The 27976-nt window shown below is 38.7% G+C and overlaps 1 protein-coding gene and 1 long non-coding RNA gene across 14 annotated transcripts in view; one reads left to right on the top strand and one right to left on the bottom strand.

The window, feature by feature from the left end:
- Positions 1 to 27976, bottom strand: part of ESR1 (estrogen receptor 1) — a 472948-nt gene that overhangs the window by 363141 nt on the left and 81831 nt on the right. Inside the window, exon 3 of one of the 12 annotated variants that reach the window (XM_011535543.3) lies at positions 8886 to 8999. The exons of the other annotated variants lie outside the window; for them this stretch is intronic. The gene's annotated coding sequence lies outside the window, so the exon portion shown is untranslated. The remainder of the gene's footprint in view (positions 1 to 8885; positions 9000 to 27976) is intronic. 12 annotated transcript variants of the gene reach the window in all.
- Positions 337 to 22756, top strand: LOC107986529 (uncharacterized). 2 transcript variants are annotated; one of them, XR_007059818.1, is made up of 2 exons: positions 337 to 2596; positions 12551 to 22756. It is a non-coding gene; the product is annotated as an uncharacterized LOC107986529 (long non-coding RNA). The 2 variants fall into 2 exon arrangements; XR_001743866.2 differs by having other exon boundaries at positions 12484 to 22756.

The raw sequence follows: 27976 nt of genomic DNA, 5'->3' as shown, positions 1-27976 counted from the left end.
AATGGGGTCTCACTCGATCACCCAGGTTGGAGTGCAGTGGTGCAATCTTGGCTCACTGCAACCTCCGCTTCCCAGGCTCAAGCAATCCTCCTATCTCAGTCTCCTGTAATTTTTAAATGTCAATCAAAAGCAATCAAAACACCAAACCATCATTTATTGGAGTTTAGTATCAGAGAGTCCTCACGAGCTATGCAAAAATGTTGTTGGTCTTCAGGAAATCCACCTCTGAATCGCTCCTTCTTTGTCCTTAGTACCTCGTTCCTTGTCTCATGTTCTCCTACCACAAATGCAATGCGAAGAGGAAGAGAGGGGTGCTTCAAAAATCACAAATTTTATACAGGTACATATTTTATTGTTAATTTCTTTCAACACTGGATATGGATATTTTATATATAAATATGAAGCCCTGTATGCATTCCTTAAAATTCAATTACAAAGTCCAGTGGAACATGAAAACATAGATTAATATTGCCACAGCATGTGAGGGAAAAACTGTCTCTCATCTACTTTGAAAAGTTTTATTAAGAGTCTCTTGGAATCACCATGTCCAAAACACGGATGTGCATAAACCAACGCATTTTGATAACAGTTCTGTAATTGAACCCCTTTCTCCTCTCACCCTAGAGTTTCTTGAACTGAGGAATGAGTAATATCCTGGACTAGAGGCTGAGAGATTGTTTTCATAAGCAACAGCCATCTGTGCAGAATAACAATAGAGCTGAAAAGATTCTGACCTATGTTACCAAAGAATTTTCCAGATAATTCAGACTCTTTCTATGAAAAGTGCCAGAATCTGAGTGACAAGCCCAGGCAACTCCTCCATGTAGTTTTAGGAAGAAAGTGCTGCCATCTACAGGGTCGACATGGAACTAATGCTTTAAAAAAAGGTGGAGAACCTACTGGATCTTAAGGTTTTAATTAGCTATAGGAAAAAAAATAGCAATAGCATGGCTAACGAGAGTAACACAATGTGTCCACTTTAAAATTTTTATTCCAAATATATTCTACTTCTTTGCTGTCCAATACAGCTTTCATGTGGCTATGAAGCACTTGAAATGTAGCCAGCGTGACTGAGGAATAGTTTCTAAATTTTCATTTCATTTTAATTAATTTCATTGATTTAAATTTTAAAACTGATACTCAATTCAGTCATTGAAAACTTTTAAGTATGCTTGTAACAACTTAGGTGTCTGAATCTATTTTTTTCAAATGTAAATTTTACGATATCTATCTACAGATTAAATATTCCTAATAAAAATGTAGCATCTGAATTGCGTGTGCTATAAGTGAAAAACGTACACCACATTTCAAATGTTTAGTACAAAGCCAAAAGAATGTAATATTTTTCATTAATAATTGTTATATTTAGAACATGTCAAAATTGATATTTAGCTATATTATGTCAAACAAAATATATTATTAAAATTACTTTTATTGGCTTCTTTTTACAATTTTAATGTGATTACTAGAAAAGTTTAAACGACACGTGTGGCTGACAGATTTCTGTTGTACAGCACTGTTTCCATTGTACAGCACTGTTCTATTTTTCTATTGTACAGCACTGTTCTAATTGATTCAAAAAAAAGAAGTAAATATGTTTAGCTGTTTAGTGCTTACAGAATCACATGAAGTGCTAGATTTACAAATGTCGTATTTGACCTCAAAATTAAAGCAAACGTGTAACAGACACTGATGCCATTATGGATAAATGTAACATAATTTTTAGAGGAAATGATCTCGTTCGGTCTTCAGTGATCATCATTGTGACTGATAGACATCTTAAAATGGTAGAAAATTTGGATCTTGATGAATGTAACAACATAACCGTTTTTATCATGGTTAACGAACTGGTGACAAGAAGCACACATTGTAAAGAAATTCCACTAAATTTGTGTCCTGTTCCACTTCTTCCATCGATTTCCAGCATTATCTCCCCGAGACTATATCTTCATTGCGAGGACTGACTCCCTGCGCTCAGCAGCCCCCCACTGGCCGTCCTGACAAGCGCAGTGCAGACTTCTCCCTGTGGTGCCACCCCTTGGTCTTTCGCGGCTGAGGCAGTCCTTCTCCAAAGTAAAAACATCTCCTTCATCAAGGATGTCTTCTTCCAATCTATAACATAAAAATCCTATCTCCCCTCTCCTTCTTCTTCCATACTCCATATGTTTAACACATTCTTCTGTTACTCAGGCAGAAAAAAAATAAATAAATAAACCAGACAGGCCCATGACTCAGTTAGCAGATGCCCACACAAAGATAGGGTGGCCAACCGTACTGATTTGTTTGCCCAGGACTGTCCCAGTTTTAGCATTGAAAGTCCCACCTTCCAGGAAACCCCGGTCCCGAGCAAACCAGGCCGGTTGGTCGCCCTACTTGCCAATCTCGCCTGTTGACAGCAAAGCCAGAGACAGGAGAGCCACACCCCCGCGCTTTGCTCCAGCAACAGGGAACTGCCTGTTTCCCTGCTGACTTTAACCTCCTTCCCTTTACCCACAGGGCCGCCCTTCCCCTTCCCAGCCCCCTAACTTACCTGTCGCCCTGTCATCCTCCAGGCATCACTCCCCGTCCAAGGCCTTCCGTCACTCCTCTGGCGCAGGTAAGTTGTACCTAACCACGTTGTATTTTAATTCTCTGTCCAGTTCCCAAGTTTCCCATCAGCTGTAAGCTTAAGTCAGGAGTCTTGTTCATTCTTGTATTTCTGTCATATATTAGCTGAACTTGTGAGTGAATGTTGATTCGTCTTAGAAAGGCACCTGGGCTCTGGGTATATTTTGTGGGCCTTCTTCCAGGAATACACTCCTCTTCTGACATAACGACCAACGACAAACTGTTTTCCAAGACTGGACGTCTGCATTTCCCAGCCTTGGAGAATCTTTCCCCAGTCTTAGTCTCTCCAACACAGTAGGCAACACCGTCCTGTCAGTAATCCCTGACTAACACCACCCCATTCCACCCCTAGGGGGAAAAAAAAGACGCACATATGTACGCACATCAAAAAGTTACAGCAACAATAACCAAAAAATTCCTTGCTTTCATTTTCAACACTGGCTAGTAATTTTTGCCTTTGGGGGTTGGAATCGCTCAATATGCATATTTCTTTCCAACGTGGGAGAAAAGAATGCACACAAGAATGCAGCAAAGTGGAGAGGATGCGTAGAAATAATGAAAGAAGTGTACCTAGAGGTGATTATATATGGAAAGACAACAAGTGATCTCAGAGTGGCAGGTAGTGACAAGGATGCAAAAAAAAAAATCAGACACAGTCCTACTTGTCCAGGAGCCAAGGTGGTTATAATTTGGAAATTACATAGGTGTGTTTTCTAGATATTACACAACATATAAGGCAATAAATTGCTCTTAGCAATACAGAGAAAAATGTAAACTTTCAGTAAACATTTTAACATATTAATTTTATATATTTACTTTATGTATTTTAAACTTATCTATTTTAATATATTTAAAATAAAAATTACATCTTTATATATTGAAATATATTAAAAATATTTAAACTATTAATTTTTGTTTGTTTGTTTGTTTTTGAGATGGAGTCCCACTCTGTCACCCAGGCTAGAGTGCAGTGGCGTGATCTCGGCTCACTGCGATTTTCCTGCCTCAGCCTCCTGAATAGCTGGGACTACAGACACACGCCACTATGCCCAGCTAATTTTTACAGTTTTAGTAGGGACGGAGTTTCGCCATGTTGGCCAGGCTGGCTTTGAACCCCTGACCTCAAGTGATCCACCCACTTCAGCCTCCCAAAGTGCTGAAATTACAGGTGTGAGCCACTGCATCTGGCCTATTAATATATTTTAAAACGTTAGATTATTAATGGTCACTTTTGAGTGCTAATTACGTAAAATAACTTTACCTGTATGATTCTCAAAGCTCTATGAAGTAAGTTCTATAATTATCTCCATTTTACTGAGAACTTGTGGCACAGAAAAGTGAAGAAACTCATCCAAGGTCATAGAATTTGTAAATGAAAGAGCTGGGATTTAAAGAGGCCCCTTAAAGGTGACAGCAACCCCCTGGGATGCATAGAAACATGTTCACACCACTCTCCAATAATCAAACAGCACACCAGCAAAACTAATTTATAAAAAATAACTTGCAAAGCCTATAACAGTTTCAGCATGCACCATGCTGTTTTACTACAAGCTGTACAACATGCTTCCCAATGGATGTTCTAAAAACATGCATACACCTTAGTAAATGTTTATTTCTCATAGGATAAGCCCATGCATGAAAGAATAGATAACGGTGTCAGAATGATGAATTCATTTTCTCCTTCATTTAAGTTAGAATGATAGTTCTTTTTCACCTGAAAGCGGTGTTAGAAGTGTTGTCAACCTTAGCTGCTCAATGGAAGCACCTGGAGAACTTTAAAAGCCACTAAGATCTGGTTACCATCTGCAGAGGTTGTGATTTCACTGGGACTTTTAACCTCCCCAGAGGGTTCTGATGTGCACTCAAGATAAAAAAGCACGTTTTGTTTAGAGTAAGCAGAAGAATTTCAAGGTGTGTCTCCAGATCAGCCATCAACTTCACTTGGGAGCTTTTTAGAAATACAAATTATTGCACTCCCTCCTGGATCTACTGAATAAGAAATTCTGAGGGTGGGGCCCGGCCTTCAGTGTCATAACACACCCTCCCTGTGATTCTGATACTCACTTGAGTTTGAGAACCACTGATGGAGCCTAATTCCTTCAATGAGAGATAACTGAAATCCAGAGAATTTAAATTTGCTTCAGGTCACATGACCCATCCATGGTGGGGCTGGCTATGAAATGATAATGATAGCTAGCATTTATTGAGGGCTTACTGTTCTAGATGGACTGTTTTGCATCAACTAATTAATGTGATCACTGCAACGTTAAAGGGATATGTTCTATTAATATCCTATTTTACAGATGAGGAAACCAAGCCACAGAAATTGCTCAGGGTCACAGGGCTGAGGAGTAGAAAAGCAGGGATTTGAACACCTCCCCAGTCAGGCATGCAATGGGAATATGCCCAAAAACCTGTGAATCTTATTCTAAGAAAGAGAAGTGGGTGAATCTAAATTTCCTATGCAAATGGTTAGGAATAAGAATGACAGAGCCTAGGGTAGTATAGGCCTAAATCTTCATTTCTATTCATGATTGTTTCTACTATTTTAAAGTATTCCATGAGAATGATTATTATTTTCTTTAGTTAAATATCTAATATATATGAAAAAGAAGTATTAAAAAATAAGGCTAAAACGTAAATATTTTAAATAAACACCTGCCAACCACCAAGGTATTGCTGTTCTAGTTTTTTTTTTTAATGCTTTGACCTACATTTCCATGTGTTGAATAATTAGTAGTGGGAAAATGGTATTGGATGAGATATTAAGAAATGTTTGCATACCCTTCGCCCAGCCACTATTTCTCAGGAACAGAACAGCATGCTAGTAGAGAGCGATGTATAGTTACCTTCTTGAAAGTAACATCCTTAGCCATAAATCCATGAAATGTGTACTGAAACATATCAGTATGCTAATAAGCACACAAAAATATTTTCCAATATTCCAAAAAGGTCTCAATCATAGAGTTTTTTATCTTTTAATAGATAAGTGAAACTTTAATCGATCCATTATTTTCTGAACATCTTATCATAGTAACAGTGTCTACCAATTTCTGTAGCACTTTACCAAGAGCTTGCAGCTTCACACATAGCCTCCATCTAGTTCTCACAGCAGTCTGTGGGATAAGTATGTGCAGTGCGTTTACTGTCATGGGTTGCGATGGGGAAGAGCAGGTGCTGGGGGGCAGCAACTCGCCTCGGAGGACTCAAAGAAGTGTCTTACCAGAGAGCATTAAGGGAGCAGGCTGGGGAGCGCAAATAAGCCTATCTGCAAATTCCACATTTACCATAATAGGTCCGGGAAGGAGAGAACAAAACAAAGGATAAGCCAAAATATTCTTCCTAAGACAACAAAGAAAGGACACAGATAATAGGATGGCTCTCAAGATGGAAACACAGAGAAAAGAAGACAGAAGATTACATTATGCTGAAGTCTGAATTGGACAATGGATTTTTAAGAGGAGGGATATTTAATATTCTATTTCTAGATGCTTGTTTGTTGCAATATAGACCCTTTCTTCAATGGAGTTTTCCACCAACTACAATGCCTTGTTGGGTGGTCTTGTGTGGGATTCAAAGAAAGGCAATGAGTTCTACCTCTGGACCCACCCAGTGTGGAACACGACTGTGACCCAAGGGAGGTTAAAGTGACCCACTAATTCAGAAAGGAAGAGCTGAGAACCAAAGAGAGCCCTGAAGAAACAAGTCTCCTGGGAATATGTATATATGGACGTGGTAGGGGAATTGGTCTTCACAAATTGAAGATTGAGCCAACCTTCCCTAGATTTTCCATGATAAGGTGATCCCTGATGTCAGCTTACTCACACATATGCATGTGTGTTTCAGTTAGGTTGTTTAATAAACCATGCATAGACTAATCTGTAGGATAGATTTAGGCAAATTTGATTAAGCTTTTACTGATTTTATAATATTCTGAATTTTACCAACCCTTTCAGGTGCCATTACTTTGAATGGCAAAAACCGCAGTTACTTTTGCACCAACCTAATACCTGAAGGATCCAATTCTGATGATCAGAGAAGCAAAGCTGTACTTTCCTAAGAAGGACCCCTGAGGAAGGTCTGTTCCTTCTTGGGTATGCCACCTGATATACATCCGCAAAAATATTTGTAAAATGTAACCATAGTGCCATGTCATTTTATCAAAAATGAAAATGTGTCCAAGATTTCCATCATCTAAATATCAGCCACCAACTGGTGTTCTGCAGCGTCAAAGCTGCAGGGCATGCTGGGGAAGGCTAAGGAGATACTAAACTAGCTTCAATTATTTGAACACCTTAAATACAGTAAAGAGCCTCTAATTATTTTTCCTGTTATTCTTTTTTTATTATTATTATTATTATACTTTAAGTTTTAGGGTACATGTGCACAATGTGCAGGTTAGTTACATATGTATACATGTGCCATGCTGGTGCGCTGCACCCACTAACTCGTCATCTAGCATTAAGTATATCTCCCAATGAAGAGCCTCTAATTTATAAACATAATTTTAATAGATCAGCAGGACCATATTGTCCTATGTAATGGAACTCACAGGAATATTCTGGTTTTATGTTTGGTTTTCTTTTTTTTTTTTTTTTTTTTTGAGACAGAGTCCAGTCGCCATGCTGGAGTGCAGTGGCATGATCTCGGCTCACTGCAACCTCTGCCTCCCGTGTTCAAGCAATTCTCCTGCCTCAGCCTCTTGAGTAGCTGGGACTACAGGCACGCACCACCACACCCAGCTAATTTCTGTGGTTTTAGTAGAGACAGAGTGTCACCATGTTGGCCAGGATTGTCTTGATCTCTTGACCTCCTGATCCGCCTGCCTTGGCCTCCCAAAGTGCTGGGATTACAGGCGTGAGCCACTGCGTCCGGCCTTATGTTTGGTTTTCTAGACCATGTAGTAGATTTTGAGAAGTTTATTGTTATTACTCCCAAGTTGCTAGTAATTTTTATTTTAACTCATTGTGATGACAAGAACACTGGAAAGAGACTAGGAGAGGCACCTTTTCATGCTTAACTCTGCCAGCAAATCAGTGTGAGACCCTGGGTGAGTCACTGCCTGTCCTCACCCCCAGCTTCCTCTCCTTCTTCTTTTTTTTTTTTTTTTAATTTGAGACAGAGTCTCACTCTGTTGCCCAGGCTGGAGTGCAGTGGCATGATATTGGCTCACTGCAACCTCTGCCTGGTTCAAGCAATTCTCCTGCCTCAGCCTCCTGAGTAGCTGGGATTACAGGCACCCACCACCAGGCCTGCCTAATTTTTGTAGTTTTAGTAGAGATGCGGTTTCACCATGTTGGCCAGGCTGGTCTCGAACTCCTGACCTCAGGTGATCCGCCCACTTTGGCCTCCCAAAGTGCTGGGATTACAGGCATGAGCCACCATCCCTGGCCTTCCTCTTCTATAAAATGAAAGACTGGGCTAGATATTCTCTAAAGTCCCCAGGAACTCACACATGCTATATTTTTCTGATCCTAAATGCATCATTATCATGACTTCTCTTGAAGTATTGTAGAACAGCTAATGAAGAACAAATTGGTTGAAGACTATTAAATAAATACATAAAAAGGAACTGAGGAGACGAGTATATTTTAAGTTGCATTATGACAGGATGTCCCCAGAGGCATCTAAAATAGTAAAAGTAATTTGCTTCTTAGCATCCATTTTGCTACCTCTATTTGGGAAAACAAAGAAACCAGCCCATAACTACCCAAATTCCTACTAAACTTCTACCATGCAGGTGACTCTAAAGAATGCTGAACAGCAAGACCATGAAACTACAAAGAATTCATATGGCCTGCACATTCAAAACTCCCAGGGATTTTGGAGACTTTGCAAAACTTTCCATTCCTAAAATTGTATAAGCCACTTTACAGTTTATAAAATACCTTGCTTCAGAAAACAGTCAAAGGTAAATACTCCCGTACATTCAGCCTCGAAATGGCCTCTGTTTAGAAGCACACTCTAATAGGTTCCTCAAGGTCAGACCATTGCCTTATTACAGGAAATGGATGAAGTCATTCCTGGCTCTCAGTTTTTCTGAAAAACTACCTGCTTTCTCAGTTTCACACACCACACCCCTCTATAGCTCTTGTTTTGTCTCCTCGGTCGTGGCACCTGTTCTGAGAACTGAAGCTTTCATCTTGGTTCTAGTAGCACATGAGAAAACACATTTGCAAAAGCACAAACAAGCAAAGGGGTCCAAGCGAGAACTTCAATGTTTGGGTGAAACAACAGCTAAATTTGTTCACAGTAATAATAAACATGCATGAGCTCACTCTTTCAGAGAGCAGTAATTTGAGCAGCAATTCTGAGGTCAGGATCCAAGGTTCTAGGCCAGCTCCAGCTCAGTCTGCTCTGACCAGAATATATTTCTTCCAGACTCTCAGGGTCTTGCTTTCAGCCATTTGGGGTACAAGAAAGGAAGATGAGAAGAAAGGCAAGAGACAAGAGAGATGGAAACTTTTTAATATGTCCTTAAAAGCCTCTTTATAGAGATGAGTAATAAAAAGATTGGGGCCAGCAAACATTTCCACATTTTCTCTAAACAGTTATAAAACTGAGAGTCTTCTAAGGTCAGAGTTAAAGTAGTACAGCCTTGTTTTTGTATTTTAAATGTTTTCTTTTTTTTTTTAATGGAACGTTAAAATAGCCTCAGTACCAGTAAAAGGTGTGCACCAGAGTATTATTGGATTCAGGAGAGAGGTAACAGGACCCACTGAGTAGGGAGGTTAGACAGTTCTGATGTGAACCCTCACTAATGCAAAGGAACTCTCTCTGTACCCTCACACATACACATTTTTCTCTCCTCCTCCAATCAAGAAATGATATCCTGTGAGATCATTTATTTTCTTTTTAATTTTTATTTTATTTATTTATTTTGAGACAGAGTCTCGCTCTGTCGCCCAGGCTGGAGTGCAGTGGCTCAATGCCGGCTCACTGCAACCTTCGCCTCCAGGGTTCAAGCGATTCTTGTGCCTCAGCCTCCCGAGTAGCTGGGATTACAGGCATGCACCACCACACCCAGCTAATTTTTGTATTTTTAATAGAGACGGGGTTTCACCATGTTGCCCAGGCTGGTCTTGAACTCCTGACCTCAAGTGATCTGCCCGCCTCGGCCTCCCAAAGTGCTGGGATTACAGGCGTGAGCCATCACGCCCGGCCCATTTAATTTATTTTCACCAGTTAGAATTTGTTACTCTCAATTTATTCAAAAACTATAATTGACAGTACCTACCGGCCAGTACGGTTATAAATATTGGAAATAGAGCATTGGACAAAACAAAGAAGTCTACCCTCATAGAGCTTATATTCTAGTGTAGAGAGACAGACAAATAAATAGGTAGCATACACAGGAGGTTAGAAAGTAATACCAGCACTTTGGGAAGCCAAGGTCAGGAGTTGGAGACCAGCCCGACCAACGTGATGAAACCCTGTCTCTACTAAAAATACAAAAATTAGCCAGGCATGGTGGCACGCGCCTCTAATCCCAGCTACTCGGGAGGCCGAGGCAGGAGAATTGCTTGAACCCAGGAGGTGGAGGTTGCAGTGAGCCAAGATTGCGCCACTGCGCTCCAGCCTAAGTGACAGAGTAATACTCTGTCTCAAAAAGAAAAGAAAGTGAGATAGGAAAAAAAATTTAGTAAGGGAGTAAAATGTACATGGGGAGGAGGGAAAGAAGATGGAGGAAGATGCAGTGTTAAATATGGGGGCCAGGGAAGGACTCATGGAAGTGAAATTTTAATAATCACCTGAAGAAAATGAAGGAACAAGATATGCACTTGAGGAAATAGCAAACAGAAAAGTTCTGGGTCAGAGGCATGTTCAATGCACTCAAGGGGTAGCAAAGAACATGACATCAGAAGGTCAGGAGGGGGCCATGCAGATCTGACTGTTACTGAATGGAAGTGGAGAAGATGGGGAGTTTTTGAAAAGAGTCATGGCTGGGCGCGGTGGCTCACACCTGTAATCCCAGCACTTCGGGAGGCTGAAGCGGGCAGATCACCTGAGGTCAGGAGTTCAAGACCAGCCTGGCCAACATGGCGAAACCCCTTCGCTACTAAAAATACAAAAAGTAGCTGGGCATGGTGGCTGGCACCTATAATCCCAGCTACTTAAGAGGCTGAGACAGGAGAATCACTTGAATCTGGGAGGCGGAAGTTGCAGTGAGTAGAGATCATGCCACTGCTCTCCAGGCTGGATGACAGAGCAAGATTCTGTAAAAAAAAAAAGAAAAGAAAAAGAAAGAAAAGAGTCATGAGGTAACCTGATTTCCATTTTTAAAGGACAGAGCTGACTGGCAGGACAGAGCATGGGCAGGAAAGGCAGGAGCAGGGAAACCAGCTCTGCGGCGGCTCCAACACTCCAGGGAACTCTGGTGATAACTAAGAGCAGGTGGGTAGCAATGGCAGTGATAGGAAGTGGTTAAATTCCAGATAGCCAACAGGATACTCTGATGTTTAGATGAGCCCATGGAAGAGAGGAGTCAAGAATGACCCCATGGTGTTTGGCTTGAGAACTGGAAGGAAGGATCTGCCATAAATCAAGATAGGACTCATTGTAAGAAGAGGAGGTTTAAAGGGGAGATTTGGAATATGTTTTTTGTGTTTTGCTCTTTGCTTTTTTTTTTTGGTTTTGGTTTTGGTTTTTGTTTTTTTTTTTTGAGGCAGGGTCTCACTCTGTCACCCAGGCTGGAATGTAGTGGTGTAATCATAGCTTACTGCAGAATCAACTTCTCAGGCTCAAGCAATCCTCCCGCCTCAGCCTCCCCAGTAACTGGGACTACAGGCATGCACCATCACGTCCAGCTAAGTGTTGTATTTTTTGTAGAGACAGCTTTTCTCTATTGGCCAGACTGGTCTCGAACTCCTGGGCTCAAGTAGTCTGCCCACCTCAGCCTCCTAAAGTGCTGGGATTACAGGCGTGAGCCACCACCCCCAGCCCAGAATTTGGTTTTAGACATGTTAAGTTTGGCAAAGTTCTTAGAAATCCCAGTGGAGATGTCACGTAGCAGTTGGATGGACACGTCTAGAGTTCAAGGAGAAAGGGAGTGATAGGTGGTGTTTGAAGCCATGACTCCAGATGTCAATCTAAGGAGAGAAGTCCAAGGACTTAATCTGAGGAGCACCAGTTTTGAGAGATTGTGGAAAAATGGAGCAACCAGCAGAGGAGACTGAGAAAGTGAGCCAACAGAGAAAGAAAAACCAGGAGGGCAAAGTATGTTGGAAGCCGGGTCGAGGGAGGTCTCAAGATGGAGGGAATGATCAAGTAGGTGAAATGTGGCTAAATGGTCACATAATATAAAAACTGAAAAGTGACATCGGATTTAGCAGTGGTCCCAGGTAAGATAAATGAAGGCTGACTGCTGCTGTAATATGGGCACTAGCCTGAGAGAAATCAATCAAGGTTTAGCTAAATAATTAGAAATTAGGAAAAAATTCTTATCATTTCCGATTGTCCTTTGTTTCATAAATCTTACTTTACAGGCCAAAGGCTAAATAAAATAAACACTCTTTTATCCATCCCTTATGCAAAAAAAAAAAAAATAGCAATAGATAGAGATTTTTATGTTCTCTCCAGCAACAAACTTATAATAATAGACACTTCTTAGCTAACAACAGGAGGTTTAACTATTTTTCACTTTTCTAAACTTCAGGAAATTATAAGCGACTTTTTTCTTAATTTAAAATAAACGTTTGCTTCTTTTCCAAATTATAACTGGAATTCAAAACTGTTTATTTCCATTGACTATTTTGACTTGAGTTTTTGTTCTCCATTTACTCTGTCCTTCCTGCTGCTTCTGAAGGTTTTCTCTGTTTGTGGGAGCATCTCTGATTTCTCTCTTTTTATCCCCTGCAATCTCTGACTCCTCTCCAGGTCTTCATTCTGCATCATCATAGTCGATTTTATCTTGGGCACCATAAAATTCTATTTCTTCCCGCAGTAGCAGGCTGATGTCACCCACAGAACATAATGGATTCTAGGAACAGGCCCACAAGAGGAAAAGTGGGCAAGTACAAATATAGGTAAGAGGAAGAGAGAAGCTGGAGGCTGGGGAACTTAACCATGTGTTTCCATTCATTTCCACATAAACCAGTTAAACCAGAAACTGGAGGATATAGAAATTCCATGTCAACAAAGTTAAGCCAAACTTTTACCTAAATAATTTGACACATTGAATAGAAACACTACGGCAATATCTGTGCACCCAAACTGTTGCTACTGGTTGGGAGCCAATACATTAAAACACAATCAGGCTGGGCACGGTGGCTTATGCCTGTAATCCCAGCACTTTGGGAGGCCAACGTGGGTGGATCACTTGAGGCCAGGAGTTTGAGACCACCCTAGTCAACACGGTGAAACCTTGCCTCTACTAAAAATACAAAAATTAGCCAGGAGTGGTGGCATGCACCTGTATTCCCAGCTACTCAGGAGATTGAGGCAGGAGAATCGCTTGAACCACGGAGGTGGAGGTTGCAGTGAGCCAAGATCACGCCACTGCACTCCAGCCTGGGCGAGAGTCAGACCTTGTCTCAAAAAAAAAAAAAAAAAATGCAATCAAATAACCCATTTTGAGAATAACTTCCTATTTGCATAAATTTTCCAAACTGGTTTGTGTATATAGAAATTGTCTACTTCTCAATGGCTGGCAGGACAAACCAAAATAGTGACAGTTTGTAGGATCTTTTTGGCAGGATACCATAATCCTAGCTTTAAAGCACGTCAACAGTTGAAGAAGCTGTGTAGTTGGTGACTGTGTTACCAGGCTAGCAGTGTAGTGGGTATGTTAAAAAGCTGAAATTTTAATACTTATGATTTATTCGTTATGGTGAATCTCAGAGTATGATCAGCAAATAAAAGTTACTACATGTTCAACATTAGATTTGATGATTTGGTGTTCTTGGCTCTTTTAAAAAATTATGACTGAGAATAAAGGAAAAGTACACACTCCAGTTGCAATGAAATGAATTATTAGCCTATTGGTCTTATTAGAACCTAGTAGTTCTGGAAATTGCTTAACAAATGTTTTTCTCCTACAATATCCTCTAAAAGAGAAAAAGCAGTAAATCAGAGAAAGAAACATCATACTGCTCAGAACCCTCATAAATAGTTTCTGAATGTAAGCATTTTTAGAAAAGAATATTAAATATTTTTAAATGCTGAACACATGTTAAAATAAGTACTATCTGTTGAAAATAACGTTTTAATTCTATAGTGTAGTCCTTTCCATTGTGGTGAATTTGACACATAGAAAAGAAGTCAAAGAGCATATTTTTTCTACAGTTTTGCAATTTTGAACTGTAATTTTTTTTTATTCTGGTGAAAACACTTTGCAGAAAATTATGGAAACATACATAGGGAGCCTGCAGCAATATTATAGATTTCTAAAAAAAAAAAAAAAAAGCAGTTGCAGTATAGATATGAAAATTGAATTCAAAATTAGGAAGTAAACTGATAAAACAGTATTTAAAAATAATGCAGTTTAAATGTGTCATTGCCTCTACATTTACCCCATATTCTAAATCATTATTAAGAATACATTTCAGAGTGCGTCCATTTTGCCATTGCTAATTTTTCTTTATTATCTCAGAGTATGAGTAAGATTTTTGCTATTTTTTTAAAAGGCTACATTAAGATTCAGCCTCAAAAGAGGTTCAATTCCTAGTAACTGCAGGTGCATGGCACTTACTGCTAATTGGACATGGCTGCTTTTAGCAAATCTGGTAGCTGCTAAAAGCCACTGTTGCTGTGGGGCTTCCTCGCCAGCACGCAGGGCATGGTACTATTACCTCTCCACTACCAAAGCTACATGTCTGCAAAATTTGCCAACTAAAATACCCAACCAACTCCTTCACTTAAATGCATAGAGACAGAAATCTCAAAGAGCTACCTACAAGGTCTCTGCAAGAAAATGCGGACCTCTCAATGCATATTAAATATTCTCATTAAAATATTTCGGTAATGTATCTTCCTGTTAGAATATGTTGTTTTGAGCCCTGTAACCATGCAGAGTGGGTTTCAAAATAAAATGCTGCTATTAGCACATTAATAATGATCTTCTCTCCTGGTGTGCTGTACCAACTGGCTGGTACATTATAGTTTTGGAAAATATTGTGAACCAAGTTATATCTATGTCTCATATCATTTTTTGTGTTTATGTAGGATGTTTGTTCTGAGAAAACTAAAAATACTTTGTTTAAATTGGATCACATTTTACCAGTTAAGTGAACCTTACCAGGTAAGTCTCCAGGTTTGGATATTAACTCCTTCTATTTGGGATTTTTCCCCCCTAAATTTCTCCCTTCAGTAGAAGGTGTTCACTTTTATCAACAGTGATTTCATAAACCATTCAAAGTCTGACAAAACTGCCATCGGAGCACCATTGCTGTCATTCATTTTCCAAGACCCTGTGTCTTATTCTCAGCATTACATGCGTTCTATGATGATAAGTTGGGTTATCAGAAAGGAGTCACTGGGAACATGTGAGAAGAGAAAAAACCAGAAGTAGTAACATTAAAATAATCAAACTTTTACTCTCAAACAGATAATAAATGAATTGCCTAGCTGTACAATTATGGACCAAATATATGTAAAAATTATACAAATGAGCATGTGTTTCCTCCTGTTTTATAGCTTGACCCCATAAATCATAGGCCTCAAAAAAATCCCAGTACAGAGCCTTTCCCTAAAGAAGTTAATATCACCCATTTTAGGCAAATTTGTCTAGGATCATATGGCAAAGTCAGGCTCAGCCAAAAATTGAAGCCACTAATGCTGATGCCAAGCTGATTAAATGTTTCCTTAAATATCTAACTTGTCTATCAAATGCTGTTTTAAGTATCTGAAGACTAGTACTCAGACTCTTACGCTATTTAAGCTTCAGTTCTCCAAGGCTGTCTGCTTTTGCTGCATTTTGCATAAACGCCATTTTTTTCCTCCATTTGAGTTAATTTTCCAGGTTCTCCTCAAATAATCCTTGGCCTTCTGAAACAAAAGCTTACAGAAACAGGATAAACAGTTTGAACTCTGACTTTTGTTTTCATTTGTGAGAACGTGATTTTTTTTTCAACTTTCTAATCACAGTCATAAAATTAAGCCTGGTTTTCAGAACGAAGTTTACCTGATTCTCAAGTCCCGTATCTTCAAAAATTGCACATTTGATGGCAAAATACAAAATCTGTCTGAAAAGGTCTTGTTTTACTGTTAGCATTCGAGAAGAGACTTCTACTTCAAGAAAATCAAAGGATTGTTTCTCACCCTAAAGGAAAACTATGTTGGAAAGCTTGGCAAAATTATACCTGGTCATTTATAATTTTTCATTAGACACCTGGGAAATGTTCTTCACTAAAAGAAACCTTTTAAAATTCCTAAAGAATTAGGCTCCTTGCTCACCAGTATTATGAGAACATTGACCCAAATCTGGGACTGAGGAACCAAATGCCACTTTTCCCCCTTGCCCGCCGTCCCACTAAACATACTGTACAAATTACCAGTCACCAACTGTCCATCAGTGTCCAAACTGCCATTGCTGAGAACGATTTATTACACAGCATCGATTATCAGGGACAGTAACACAAATAACTTTTGCTTTCTGGAAAACGTTTGCCATAGGAAAAAATATACTCACAAGTGTACAAAAAGAAAAATTCAATTCCTGTAAATGTGGATGTACATAACCAGAGCTGAATTTTTTTCATGAAGAGTTTGAATATATAAAACTCTTGAATCTACATTAAAAACTAAACCATGAAGAAATATCCCAAAAAGTAGGTATTAGTTTACATGACACAATATGAAATGTATCTAAGTGTCATTCTCTGATAACACCCATCTATATTCATGTCTCCCTCCCTCATTCCTTTTGTATTTAAAACCTGACATGTCAATTAACACCTTACATAAATTGTATTTCATAGCATTTATTAGCTGAGTGTTGAAATCATATTGATTATGTCACCATAAGATGTTCTATAGAATAATCTTGTTTATTAATCACTTGAGGTCTCTGTAACTTGTTTCTGAATGAGATTGTCAGATCTGTGTTGACAGAGCTCTGTCTAGCAGTTCTTTTTCCCCCACGGAGCTAAAAATATCAGAGTAGCACAGCGAGCTGCCTCTCTACCAGCCTCCCAGACTGGGGACCCTAGCTCCGTGATCCCCTTCCTCCAGAATAATGTGGAGGCACAGGGTCACCCAGTTAGACTTCATTTTCCAAGTCTACCCTGCAACTAGAAGTGGCTTGCCAGTGTATTTTCAGAAGTAATGTGTACAATTTCCATGTTTCTTGCTTAAGAGGAAATGGCTATGGGGAGAGGTTGATCAACTGGTACAAAGTTGCAGTTAGGTGAGAGGAATCAGTTCTGGTGTTCCATTGCACAGCAGGGTGACTGTGGCTAACAATAATGCATCGTATATTTCAAACTAACTAGAAGAGAGGATTTTGAATGCTTTACCACAAAGAAATGATAAATGTTTGAGATGATGGATTTGCTAATTACTCTGATTTCATCATTACACAATGCACACATGTGTCAAAACCTTTCATTTTTATCCCATGAATATGTACACTTACCATATGACAATCGAAGTTAAAATAAAATTTTATTTTAAAAATGGCTTACTCTCCTTACTCTCATGTCCACTTTTCACCCTTTTCCACAAGCTTTTTTTTTTTTTTTTGTCTTTTCCCAAAAGCAATTTCCCAAGTATTTGAGGGTCCTTTTTTTTCACAGTAGCTTAGCCTATGGCCTAATATACACAGCTTATTGTATAATACTTGCCTCTATTTCATGTCCATTATGCTTATTGATTTATATATATATGTCCCCCTTATTAGACTATATATTACTTGTAAGCAATGTATGTTTCTTATTCATCCTTCTCTCTAGCACTTAAAGTTCACCTAGCATACGATAAATGCTGAATAAATGCCAGTTGAATAAATAAATGAACCAATCACCTTCTTCAATTAGCAAATGGATATACTATGTATTAAGGCAAATTTAGATACAATCTCTATGCCTGCATATTTCTCAGAAATTTGAAAGCTTTAACCATATTATCTGGAGTTCAACTTCAATGTTGAACTTCAAGCTTTATAACATAAACTTGATTTGCCCCTTATAGGTCAAATCAACTTTTACTGAACTATTTTTTACCTACCACATTGGCCAAGATGGGAAAGGCTGATAACACACAGTGTTAAGCTGGAAAGATTGTGGGCTAATAGGCACTCTCATCCCCTGTTGATGGTGGTATATAGCAGTATAACTTGTTTTTTCCTGTGAATATCTTCACAAATGTACTCAAGAACAATTGTATGTCTTGTGGATGCGCATGGCATTACTTATAAGAGCAAAACCAACCAAAATGCCCTTCATTAGAAAAGCTGTTAAAACGAACGAAGGTACATCGTCACAAAAAATACTCTGCTAAGAGTAAAAAGAATGAGGCAGGTCAACCTGTTCTATAGCAATTGCTCTTAGGTATATTATTAAGTGATAAAGAATGATACAAAATAGTATACTCCTACATGTGTTCTTGCAAATACATATCTAGGGATACGTCATATGTGCATAGACAACTTTCAAGGACTCTAGAAAAAAAACTGTAATTCTGGGGGGCTGTCTGGGCCTGAAGAATACTTTCTGCATGTTTCAATTTTACTTTTACTCCATGAATATGTCACTTTTTTCAGTAGTTTTACCACTTCATACCCATTATGACAAAACAGATAATAGCAAGTGTACATGACAGTGTAGGGAAATTGGAGCCCTCACACATTGCTGGTTGGAATGTAAAATCGTACAGCCATTTGGCAGTTCCTGGAAGTGCTAAATATAGGGTTACCATATGACTCAGAAATTTCTCTATTAGGCATATACTCAAGAGAATTAAAGATGTGTGTCCACACAAAAACTCACACACAAACGTTCATAGCAATTTTATTTGTAATAGCCAAAAGTGGAAACCCAAATGTTCATCAACTCATGAATGAGAAAATAAAATGTAGTACATATCCATACAATGAAGTCTTATTTGGCAATAAAAAGAATGAAGTACTGATACATGCTGCAATATAAATGACCCTTGAAAACACTATACTAAATGAAATAAGCCAGACGCAAAAGACCGCATATTGTATTGTTCTATTTATATAAAATGTTCAAAATTAGATTCCATGGAGACAGAAAGGAATTAATTGTGGCAATGATCGCACAACTCTGTGAATGTACTGAAAACCACTGAGCTTTGTACTTTAAATGGGTGGATTTTATATTTTTATGCAAAATATATTTCAATAAAACTGGAAAAAAAATAGTTTTTAGAAGCATTATCACATACATGGTTGCACCTGATCTTCATACCCATTCTGAGAGGTAATGGTTGCAAAGAGCAGATGAGATTGTGTTGACAACAAAACCCAGAAAGAAAAATAGCATGAGTTTAAAGAAGGTCTATCATCATAAACCTGGGTATTTACCTTTCAGAAATATTTCTGTAGTAAAAGAAAAAATTTACTCATGGTTTGCCTTCCACAACCCATCTGCTTATTCAGTGATTCATTCATTAGAAACTATTCCAGTCACCTAGATTGTATTTGTGCTGCACTCACTGAATCTCCCAGTGTTCCCTCAGCATTCACAATCTAAGAGCTTTCTGGGTACGAAATGTTCTATCCATCACATCTTCAATTTATGAACTACTAATTGACTAAAAGGAAGGGGGATTTTAGATCATTGATTAGTCCACATTTTAAAATCATTAGTTAAAAGAGACATACGTGTATATTTTTTGCAGATGACAATATTGATATGTGGGATGACACAAGGAAGATACAACAACCTAAGAATGGATAGCTTGTGCTAGAAAATCAATTACAAAATCTTATATGGCTTTTCCTCCCTGCCAGATGTCATTCCGGCATGTTGCGTATATTAATTCATGTAATGCCACCACAATCCATTATTAACCGTATTTTACAGATGAAAAATCTGGTGCTGTGAGAAGCTTGCCCAGTGGCACTCATGCAGCTGGCAATGGCCAGAGCCAGGATTGGTGCCAAACACTTGACTCCAGAATCCCTGCTCTTGACCACTATTCTACCCACTCCATACCTAAATCCCAGTTCGTTATATAAAAGAGTTGTGACATAGTATGTTTTCTCTCATAATACTTTAAAGTTAAATCAAATTCATATTGTCACCCTAATTAGTACCTTTTTTCACCTCAAATCAGACTCAGTTAAGATAATCTTTGTATTACAAATAGCATTTCAGTCTCAACTACCATATCACATGTAATCACTATCATATCAGCTGTTAAGCAGCTTTGATTGATGCCTTTTCCCTGTATTTTGGTGTAAAATACACCTGAGGTATTAAAAAGGTTTGACTTTTGTGTTCAGATGCATAGGGTTGGTTATAAAACACAAAAATAATGATGACTCATTTAAGACAATCACTGAAGCCCATCATCATTGTTGCAGGGACAATTTAAAGTTACCATCTTCTTCGTGAGCTATGTCTAAAATGACACAAACCCCACAAATTTAATTTAGTGTTCTCATTCGAGAAGATAAGTTGAAAAATTAAAACAATAATTATCATCTGATCCTGCAATCCTAATCCTATATACACTTCTGTGTATATATCCCAAAGAACTGAAAGCAGAGTCCTCAAAGAGATTTGCACACCTGTGTTCACAGCAGCATTATTTACAACAGCCAAGAAGTGGAAGCAACACAAATGTCTACCAACAGATCAATGGATAAACAAAAAAATGTGATATAGAGACAAAATGGAGTATTATTCAGCCCTGAAAAGGAAGAAAACCCTGTCATGTGCTGCAACATGGATGAACCTTGAGGACCTTGTGCTAAATACCATATGACTCCATTTATATGAGGTATCTAAAGTAGTAAAATTCACAGAAACAGAAAGAATAATGGTGGTTGCCAGGCCTTGGGAGGAGAAGGAAATGGGGAAGGAGTTGTTGGTAAATGGGTTACAGTTTCAGTTTTACAAGATGAAAAGCTCTGGAGATCTGTTGAATATACTTAACACTAGTAAACTGCTTTAAAAAATCAAGATGGTAAAATGTATATTTTATGTTTTTACCATAATTAAAAATAATATAATTTTTTAAATTAATGACTTCTAGTTTTACCTCAATGATAAAAAGTCTCTGGTAAAGTTTGAGGCCTTGAATGTAGGTGTCAGAATGTGAAAAATATGAACCTGTGACATACAAAACTTACCAACAAAGTCTTAGAGTTTGGGATGGTGGATGGTTGATTATTTAAAATATAACTTAATGATTATGATTATATGATATATGTCATAATTTGTGAATGTTAGTCTACCCATAAAATGAAAGTTTGTTGTCTTCCAAATGATGCTAAAATAGATTACTAGTCCTGAAAATGTGGTTTCTTATGGGTTCCTCTAGTCATTTCAATAGGATAAATGTGCTGATAACACCCCATTAATTAAAGTCAATGGCTATCCCATAAGCACCAATGCCACAGTAAGCAACCAAAGCCATACCATGCATATATATCCAGGCCAAATGTCTCACTCAGGCCAGAAAGAGACCAGCTAAGAAGTCAAGGATGGCTGGGATGGGGTAGCAAGTGGGGAGAAGGAACACAGTAAAATTAGGAGGTGGGTTGAGGTCATGCTAGATAGGACCTGGAATTTTATGTTGAATATTTGAACTATTTTATAGAAACTAAGGAAAGAATAAAGTTTTTTTATTAAGGAAAGGACATAATCATATCTGTGTATAAGATGAATAACTGGTAGTATGGTGGGAGATGGACTCTGGTGGAGAAGAGCTAAGAGCAGGGAGAGCTGTGAGGAGGCTACTTCAACAGCCTGGACAAGACAAAATGGAAGGATGAAAATGGACTAAACATTTAGTGCTCGGACAACTGGATAGCCACATGCAGAAGAATAGATTTGAACCTCTACCTCACACCATATACAAGTCATTAATTCTAAATGAATCAGACCTAAATATAAGAGCTGAAACTATAAAACTCTTAGAGGAAAACAGAGTTGTAAGTCTCCTGACCCAGGATTAGAAACAGTTTCTTAGATATGCACATAAAGCACAAGTAACCAAAGGAAAAGATATACAAACTGTTTTTCAACACAACTAAAAACTTTTGTGCATCCAAGGACACTATCAAGAAAGTGAAAAGATTCACAAAATGGGAGAAAATATTTACAAATCATATATTTGATAAGGGTCTACTATCCAGAATATATAACGAATCCTTACAACTCAACAATAAAATTTAAAATCATCAAATTTTTAAATGGAAAAAAATTGAACATACATTTTCTCAAGGAAGATATGCAAATGGCCAATATGCCTGAAAAGATGCTTTATGTCATTTATCATTAGGGAAATGCAAATCAAAACTATAACAAGATACTACTTCACACACACTGGGATGGCTATAATCAAAGACAATAACAAATGTCGGTGAGGATGTGGAGAAATTGAACCCTCATGCATTGCTGGTAGGCATATAAAATAGTGCAGCTGCTTTGGGAACCATTTTGAAGATTTCTCAAAAAGTTAGATAAATACAGTTAGCACATGTCCCAGGAATTCCAGTCCTAAGTGGGTACCCAAGAGAAATGAGAACATGCATGCATACAGAAACTTTGCACATAGCCAAAAAGTGGAAATCCAGTTGTGTACAAGCTAATGAGTGGATAAAGAAAATGAAGTATATTTATATAGTAGAATAGTGTTCAGCACAAAAAGAAATGAGGTGCTGACACATGCTGCAATATAGATGAACCTCGAAAACAGTATGCTAAGTAAAAGAAGTCAGTCACAAAAGGCCACATGTTGTATCATTCCATTTATATGAAATTTCCAGAATAGTACTCCACAGAGACAGAAAGCAGATGAGTGATTATCAGGGGCCGGGGAAATGGGAAGTGACTAAAGGTAGGGAGGGGTGGCTCTGGGGTGATGAAAATACTCTACGATTAATTCGTGGTGAAAGCTGCAGAATTCTGAATATGTTAAAAACTACCAGACTGTACATTTTAGATGGGTGATTTTGTGGTATATTAATTGTATATCAAATCTGTTTGTTTGTTTTAATAAATGACACATTGGGAGAGTCTTTGTGTGGAACTATTTGGTGACTACCTGTTCTAATGAGAGATGCCACCATTGAGAAGTTAGAAATTCTGGAGATAAGGTAAACTGTTACTGTGATCTCTGTAACATCAGAGACCAAGTTCTATGAAGTATGTAAAACCTGAAAATAAAATGTGATGCTTGAACTCAGTTTTAGGATACTAATTACTGAGTCAGAGGGCCAAGTTCAGGATGCCATGAGTGGTATTTCTGCTCCATATCCACACACTTGTTTATTTGCTTGAAAATTTGTTTTAGATTTATAAGTGCAAGTAAAGCACTCAGTAAATAGAGTGATTTAGGTACTTTCCAACAAATGGCTCTTGTGTACTTTGCACATGAAATTGCTGAGGCACATCAGGAGACGGAAGGAGCTCATGGGCAGGCAAATGTGACCAGAATGTCTCTACTGCAGTCTAAGCCCCCACGATCAAGTCCACCCCATGCCCAAGCCCTACATGCCCTTGCAGGTACCTCCCCTCCCACCAGGCCTTCCCAACAGTGTCAGCCCCCAGAGCTCTCCCTCCTCTCATCTCCTGTATCATTTACTGCCTGGCCTGCGATCCCAGTCCTGGCTGTTCTTGGGAATTCACCGGAAGCCCCTGGGGAGCTTTCTTGGCACTGTAGAGTTTTGGACCGACGTCCAGATCTATGGAACTGAGATCGAGGAGAGTTTGGCTAGCAAATCTGCAATTTTAATAAGCCTCCTAAATGATTCTGAAAGAGGCAGCCTTGAAGGGCTTCATATTAAGCACCATTCAATTTTCGTCTTATCTCCATCTTGTATTCTCAACCATCTGTGAGACCTGAAGGAAAGAAATTAGACATATTTCTTTGTATATATAACATCTAGCCCATTCATTAATTCATTCCCTCAAAAATATTGATTGAATGCCTGCTATATCCCCGACCCTATTCTAAGTGTAATGACGATCAATGAATAAAACACACACTGTCACTCAATAAATTGCTGGTGATCCTGATGATGATTCTATTAAGCTGAATTCAACACATAATAGCAAACACTTAATAGCACTTTTTATATGGCAGTAACTGTTCTAAGCATTATTTTTATCAGCTCCAAGTAACAAAGGAAGGCACAGAGAGGTTAAGCAACTTGCCCAAGTTTCCGCAGTTAGGAACTGGCAGGGACAAGAGATGAGCATGAGCAAGCCAGTTCCAGAGTTAGCGCTGGTAACTGCTCTGCTGTGTTTGTTCAGCACATGTAAGGGAAACAATATTAATGATGCCCTGCCCTTCTATTACCAAAAAGACAAGAAATAGCAAGTGTTGGTGAGCGTGTGGAGAAAAGGGAACCCTGTACCCTGTTGGTGGCAGTGTAGATTGCTGCAGCCATTACGGAAAACAGTATGAAATTTTCTCAAAAAATTAAGAATAGAATTACTCTGTGATCCAGAAAACCCTCTTCTGAATATATATCCAAAGGAATGAAATCACCACCTCGTAAAGATATCTGCACCCCCGTGTTCATTGCAGCACTATTCACAGCAGCCAAGATATGGAAACAACCTAAGTGACAATTCATGGACAAATGGACAAATGGAATATTATTCAGCCTTAAAAACGAATGAGATCTTGCCATTTGCCACAACATGGATGAGCCTGGTGGAGGTTATTGTGCTAAGTGAAATAAACAAAGACTCAGAAAAAAATTGCATCATCTCATTTATATATGGAATCTTTTATTAAGTCAAATATACGGAAATAGAACATAACACAGTGGTTATGGGGAGGGTTGGGGGAAGGGAAGAAAATGAGAAGATGTAGATCAAAGGCTATAAAGTAGCAGATATAGGATGAACAAGTCTAGAGATTTAATCTACAACATGAGAACTATAGTTAATCATATTGTACTGTATTCCGCATTTTTGCTCCATGCGTAGATTTTAGTGTTGGATAACAACGTGAGATGATGGATACGTTAGTTTGCCTCACTGTAGTAATCATTTTATTATCTATATATATCTCATCACGTCATGTTGTACACCTTAAGTATACACAATAAAATTTACTTCAAAAAAATAATTAATTTTGAAAAAATCAAGTTGTACATCTTAAACATATACAATGTTATTTGTAAGTTATACCTCAATAAAGCTGGAAAAAATACACCAAAAAACAGGGAGCATATTGATAACCCAATCATCTCTAACTGCTGGGCAATTTTTCTGCACTTGAAATTTCCTAAAACATAAATCATGTAAATGAACTATGCTTGAAGCTATACCAATAAAAATGACTATTATTTTTTGGGCTCAAAAAATACTCATACTCTGCCCTTATCCCGTATGCGCTCCTCGGTAGAGAGCTATACTATGAAATGAAAAGTGCCATAACAAAGAAATAAGCTTAGGCATAGAGGAGGACTGAATGAATTATATTTTTAAAATATGAGGCCTTTATAGTGCAACACATTTAAGCTAAGCCTTGATACTGGAGTGAGGAGGAGAAGGAGGAAGAAGAAAAAAAGCAGGAAGAGGAGACAGGGAAGGGGAGGAGAAGACAGTTATGATACCAGAAAGATTATCATCAGGGCACAAAGGATAGAAAATGGACATTGCTATGAGTGCTAGGGAGCAGCAGTGACTGACGGGCCCGCCTCTCACACCCCAGTAAGAAGCGGAAGCATTTCTTCCCTATAAAGGAAGCTGGCTGGCCAGGAGGCAGACACAGCCACCACCAGGATCCACATCTCTGCTGATGGCAGCCACAGTGGGACATCACAAGTGCCCACAGCAAGCAGAATATAGAAAAGCTGCTGCTGCTTAAACACTAGTGGTCTTTGAGCCATGTTCGCCAATCTGAAGAACAGAACATCAGTCCCAACACTTTTTAAAGAAAATCCTAGGGTTTAAGGAGAAGAGGTAGAAATGCTAAACCAATGACTAAAAAGAAATTTTCAGAATCAACAGAATCAAATAGAATATTGGGCATCAGATTCAAAGAACGGTTAACATAGACACAGGCAGATAGATGAGACAGACACACACATGCCAGAAACAAGTTCTGAAAATATTTTGCTCCGTTACAAAAAACTGTGTAAAAAAAATTGATCAAAAAATAACTAAAGAAGCTCCAAGAAAGTAAGAGGACTATTCCCAGAGAACAAAAGAAAAGCTCAAGACAGAGGAAAAAATGCTGAGGTAAGAGTTTCCTGGAGGTGAGAGCCATTTTGTCAGCTGTGGGATGGCACAGTGGCCCAGGACACAGCTCAGATACACAGCCCAATCAGAAGAGACAGAAAATGGCCAGGTGTGGTGGCTCACGCCTGTAATCCCAGCACTTTGGGAGGCCGAGGCAGGTAGATCACTTGAGGTCAGGAGTTTGAGACCAGCCTGGCCACCATGAGAAAAACCTGTATATACTAAAAATACAAAAAAAAAAAAAAAAAAAAAATTAGCCAGGCATGGTGGTGCGCTCCTGTAATCCCAGCTACTCAGGAGGCTGAGGCAAAAGAATCACTTGAACCCAGGAAGCATAGGTTGCAGTGAGCAGAGGTCGCACCACTGCACTCCAGGCTGGGTGACAGAGCTAGTAAGACTCTATCTCAAAAAAAAAGAAAAGAAAGAAAAAATCAGTGGCAGAAAATGGAAAGATCCCCAGAGACTATTTGTTTCAATATACATAGGGGAACCCTGGCAATAATACAGGCATAAGTCTAAAGTGATCCATTAAATCTGCAGTGACAGAGGAAGCCAAGACAATGTCCAGTGTGCTGCCCCTCACATGGTTGGTTCTCAATAAATATTGCTGGATGAATAATGGAAAAAAGGGATGGAGAGAGGAAGAAAGGGAAGAGATGACAAATAAGGACCATGTAGTAGAAGACTGCGGCCAGAATGCTAAGAAATGCAACTAAAAGGTATGAAAGAAGGGGCTTCTGTCTGAAAGAAATAGAAATTGCTATCAGTAAAGACAGAAGTCCAAAATGAACTTAGAGCATACACAATGGGGCCAACAAGATGAAATAAAACAATTTGCCTTCATCTATGGCATGGCCATATTTTGGAAATGGGATCAAAGGGGTTCGGGGTTATCATCTGCATACCCTTGCTTGTCATTTGACAGTCAAGGAGAAAGGCTTAGTGAAAAATCAATCCTTGAGGTTTGTTACACACAGGACTTTGAAAATGGTTATAGTCATGGCTCTGCTGGCCACAGCTGTTTTTCACTTTGACAATACACAATCAGAATGGGACTTGGAATCCCTTGGTGTCAATGAGAAGAAATAAGGAAAAGCCATCCACATAGAAGATAAACAGAAAATACCTGGTGCTAGAAAAATTCCCCAGAAAAGAACCTGTACCCTGATATAAATCTGATTGACTGAGATTATTACAATGGTTACAAGACATAACATCAAGAAACACCATGTTTATTTAGCCCTTACTTGCCAGGGACCTTGCTAAATGCTTTTCATGCCTTAGCTCGTTTGGTCCTTGCAACTCTGACATAGGTACTCCATGACATTATCCCTATTTTAAAGACTAGAAATCTGACAATTACCAAGACTAAGAAACTTAACCTTGATCCCCTAGTGGTCAAGACAAGACAGTCCTACTTAGTGAAGCCCCTTCTTATGAATAAGATAAAGCATGAAATATTAGAAGGGACTCAAGATAGAGAAGTCTCTACCAATCATCCATATTCCATGGTTTGAAAATGGCTGCAAGTATCCTGCTGCCTTCAGATACTAGAAATTCTTGCTGGGTGCTGAATGCAGTACTAATATTTTAAGCTAACAGAGGTAGGAATAGAGGTAATCAGAGTATCAACATTGTCCCAATGCCTTCCTTAGGGGACAACTCCCAAGTCAATATAAAGCTAATTAGTCATTTCATTTTAATCAACTCCAATTCAAAATTAAGCCTACTTTGACTACAGGCATTGAATTCCAGCTCATGCACATTAGAAATTATTTCACAAATGAGGCATATGTGAAATGTAACTAACCCACAGAAAACAAACATCTTCCAACTACAAGTTTTCATAGACAGCTTCTAATTTATGATATTGCTCTTATAGAATATGTGGAGCTGGAGGGATGTCATTTTGGAAACTTTTTAAAAACCCTGACAGAAATGTTATGTTCAGAACAATTGATCCTCATGCCTATTAGGATGGGCTACTGTCAAAAATAACACCCAAAAAATAGCGAGCATTGGTGAGGGTGTGGAGA

This window comes from Homo sapiens, chromosome 6 (assembly GCF_000001405.40).
Source record: "Homo sapiens chromosome 6, GRCh38.p14 Primary Assembly".
NCBI classification, from domain to species: domain Eukaryota; kingdom Metazoa; phylum Chordata; class Mammalia; order Primates; family Hominidae; genus Homo; species Homo sapiens.
The sequence above is the reverse complement of the archived record's forward strand: the minus strand, read 5'-3'. Positions and strand labels throughout refer to the sequence as shown.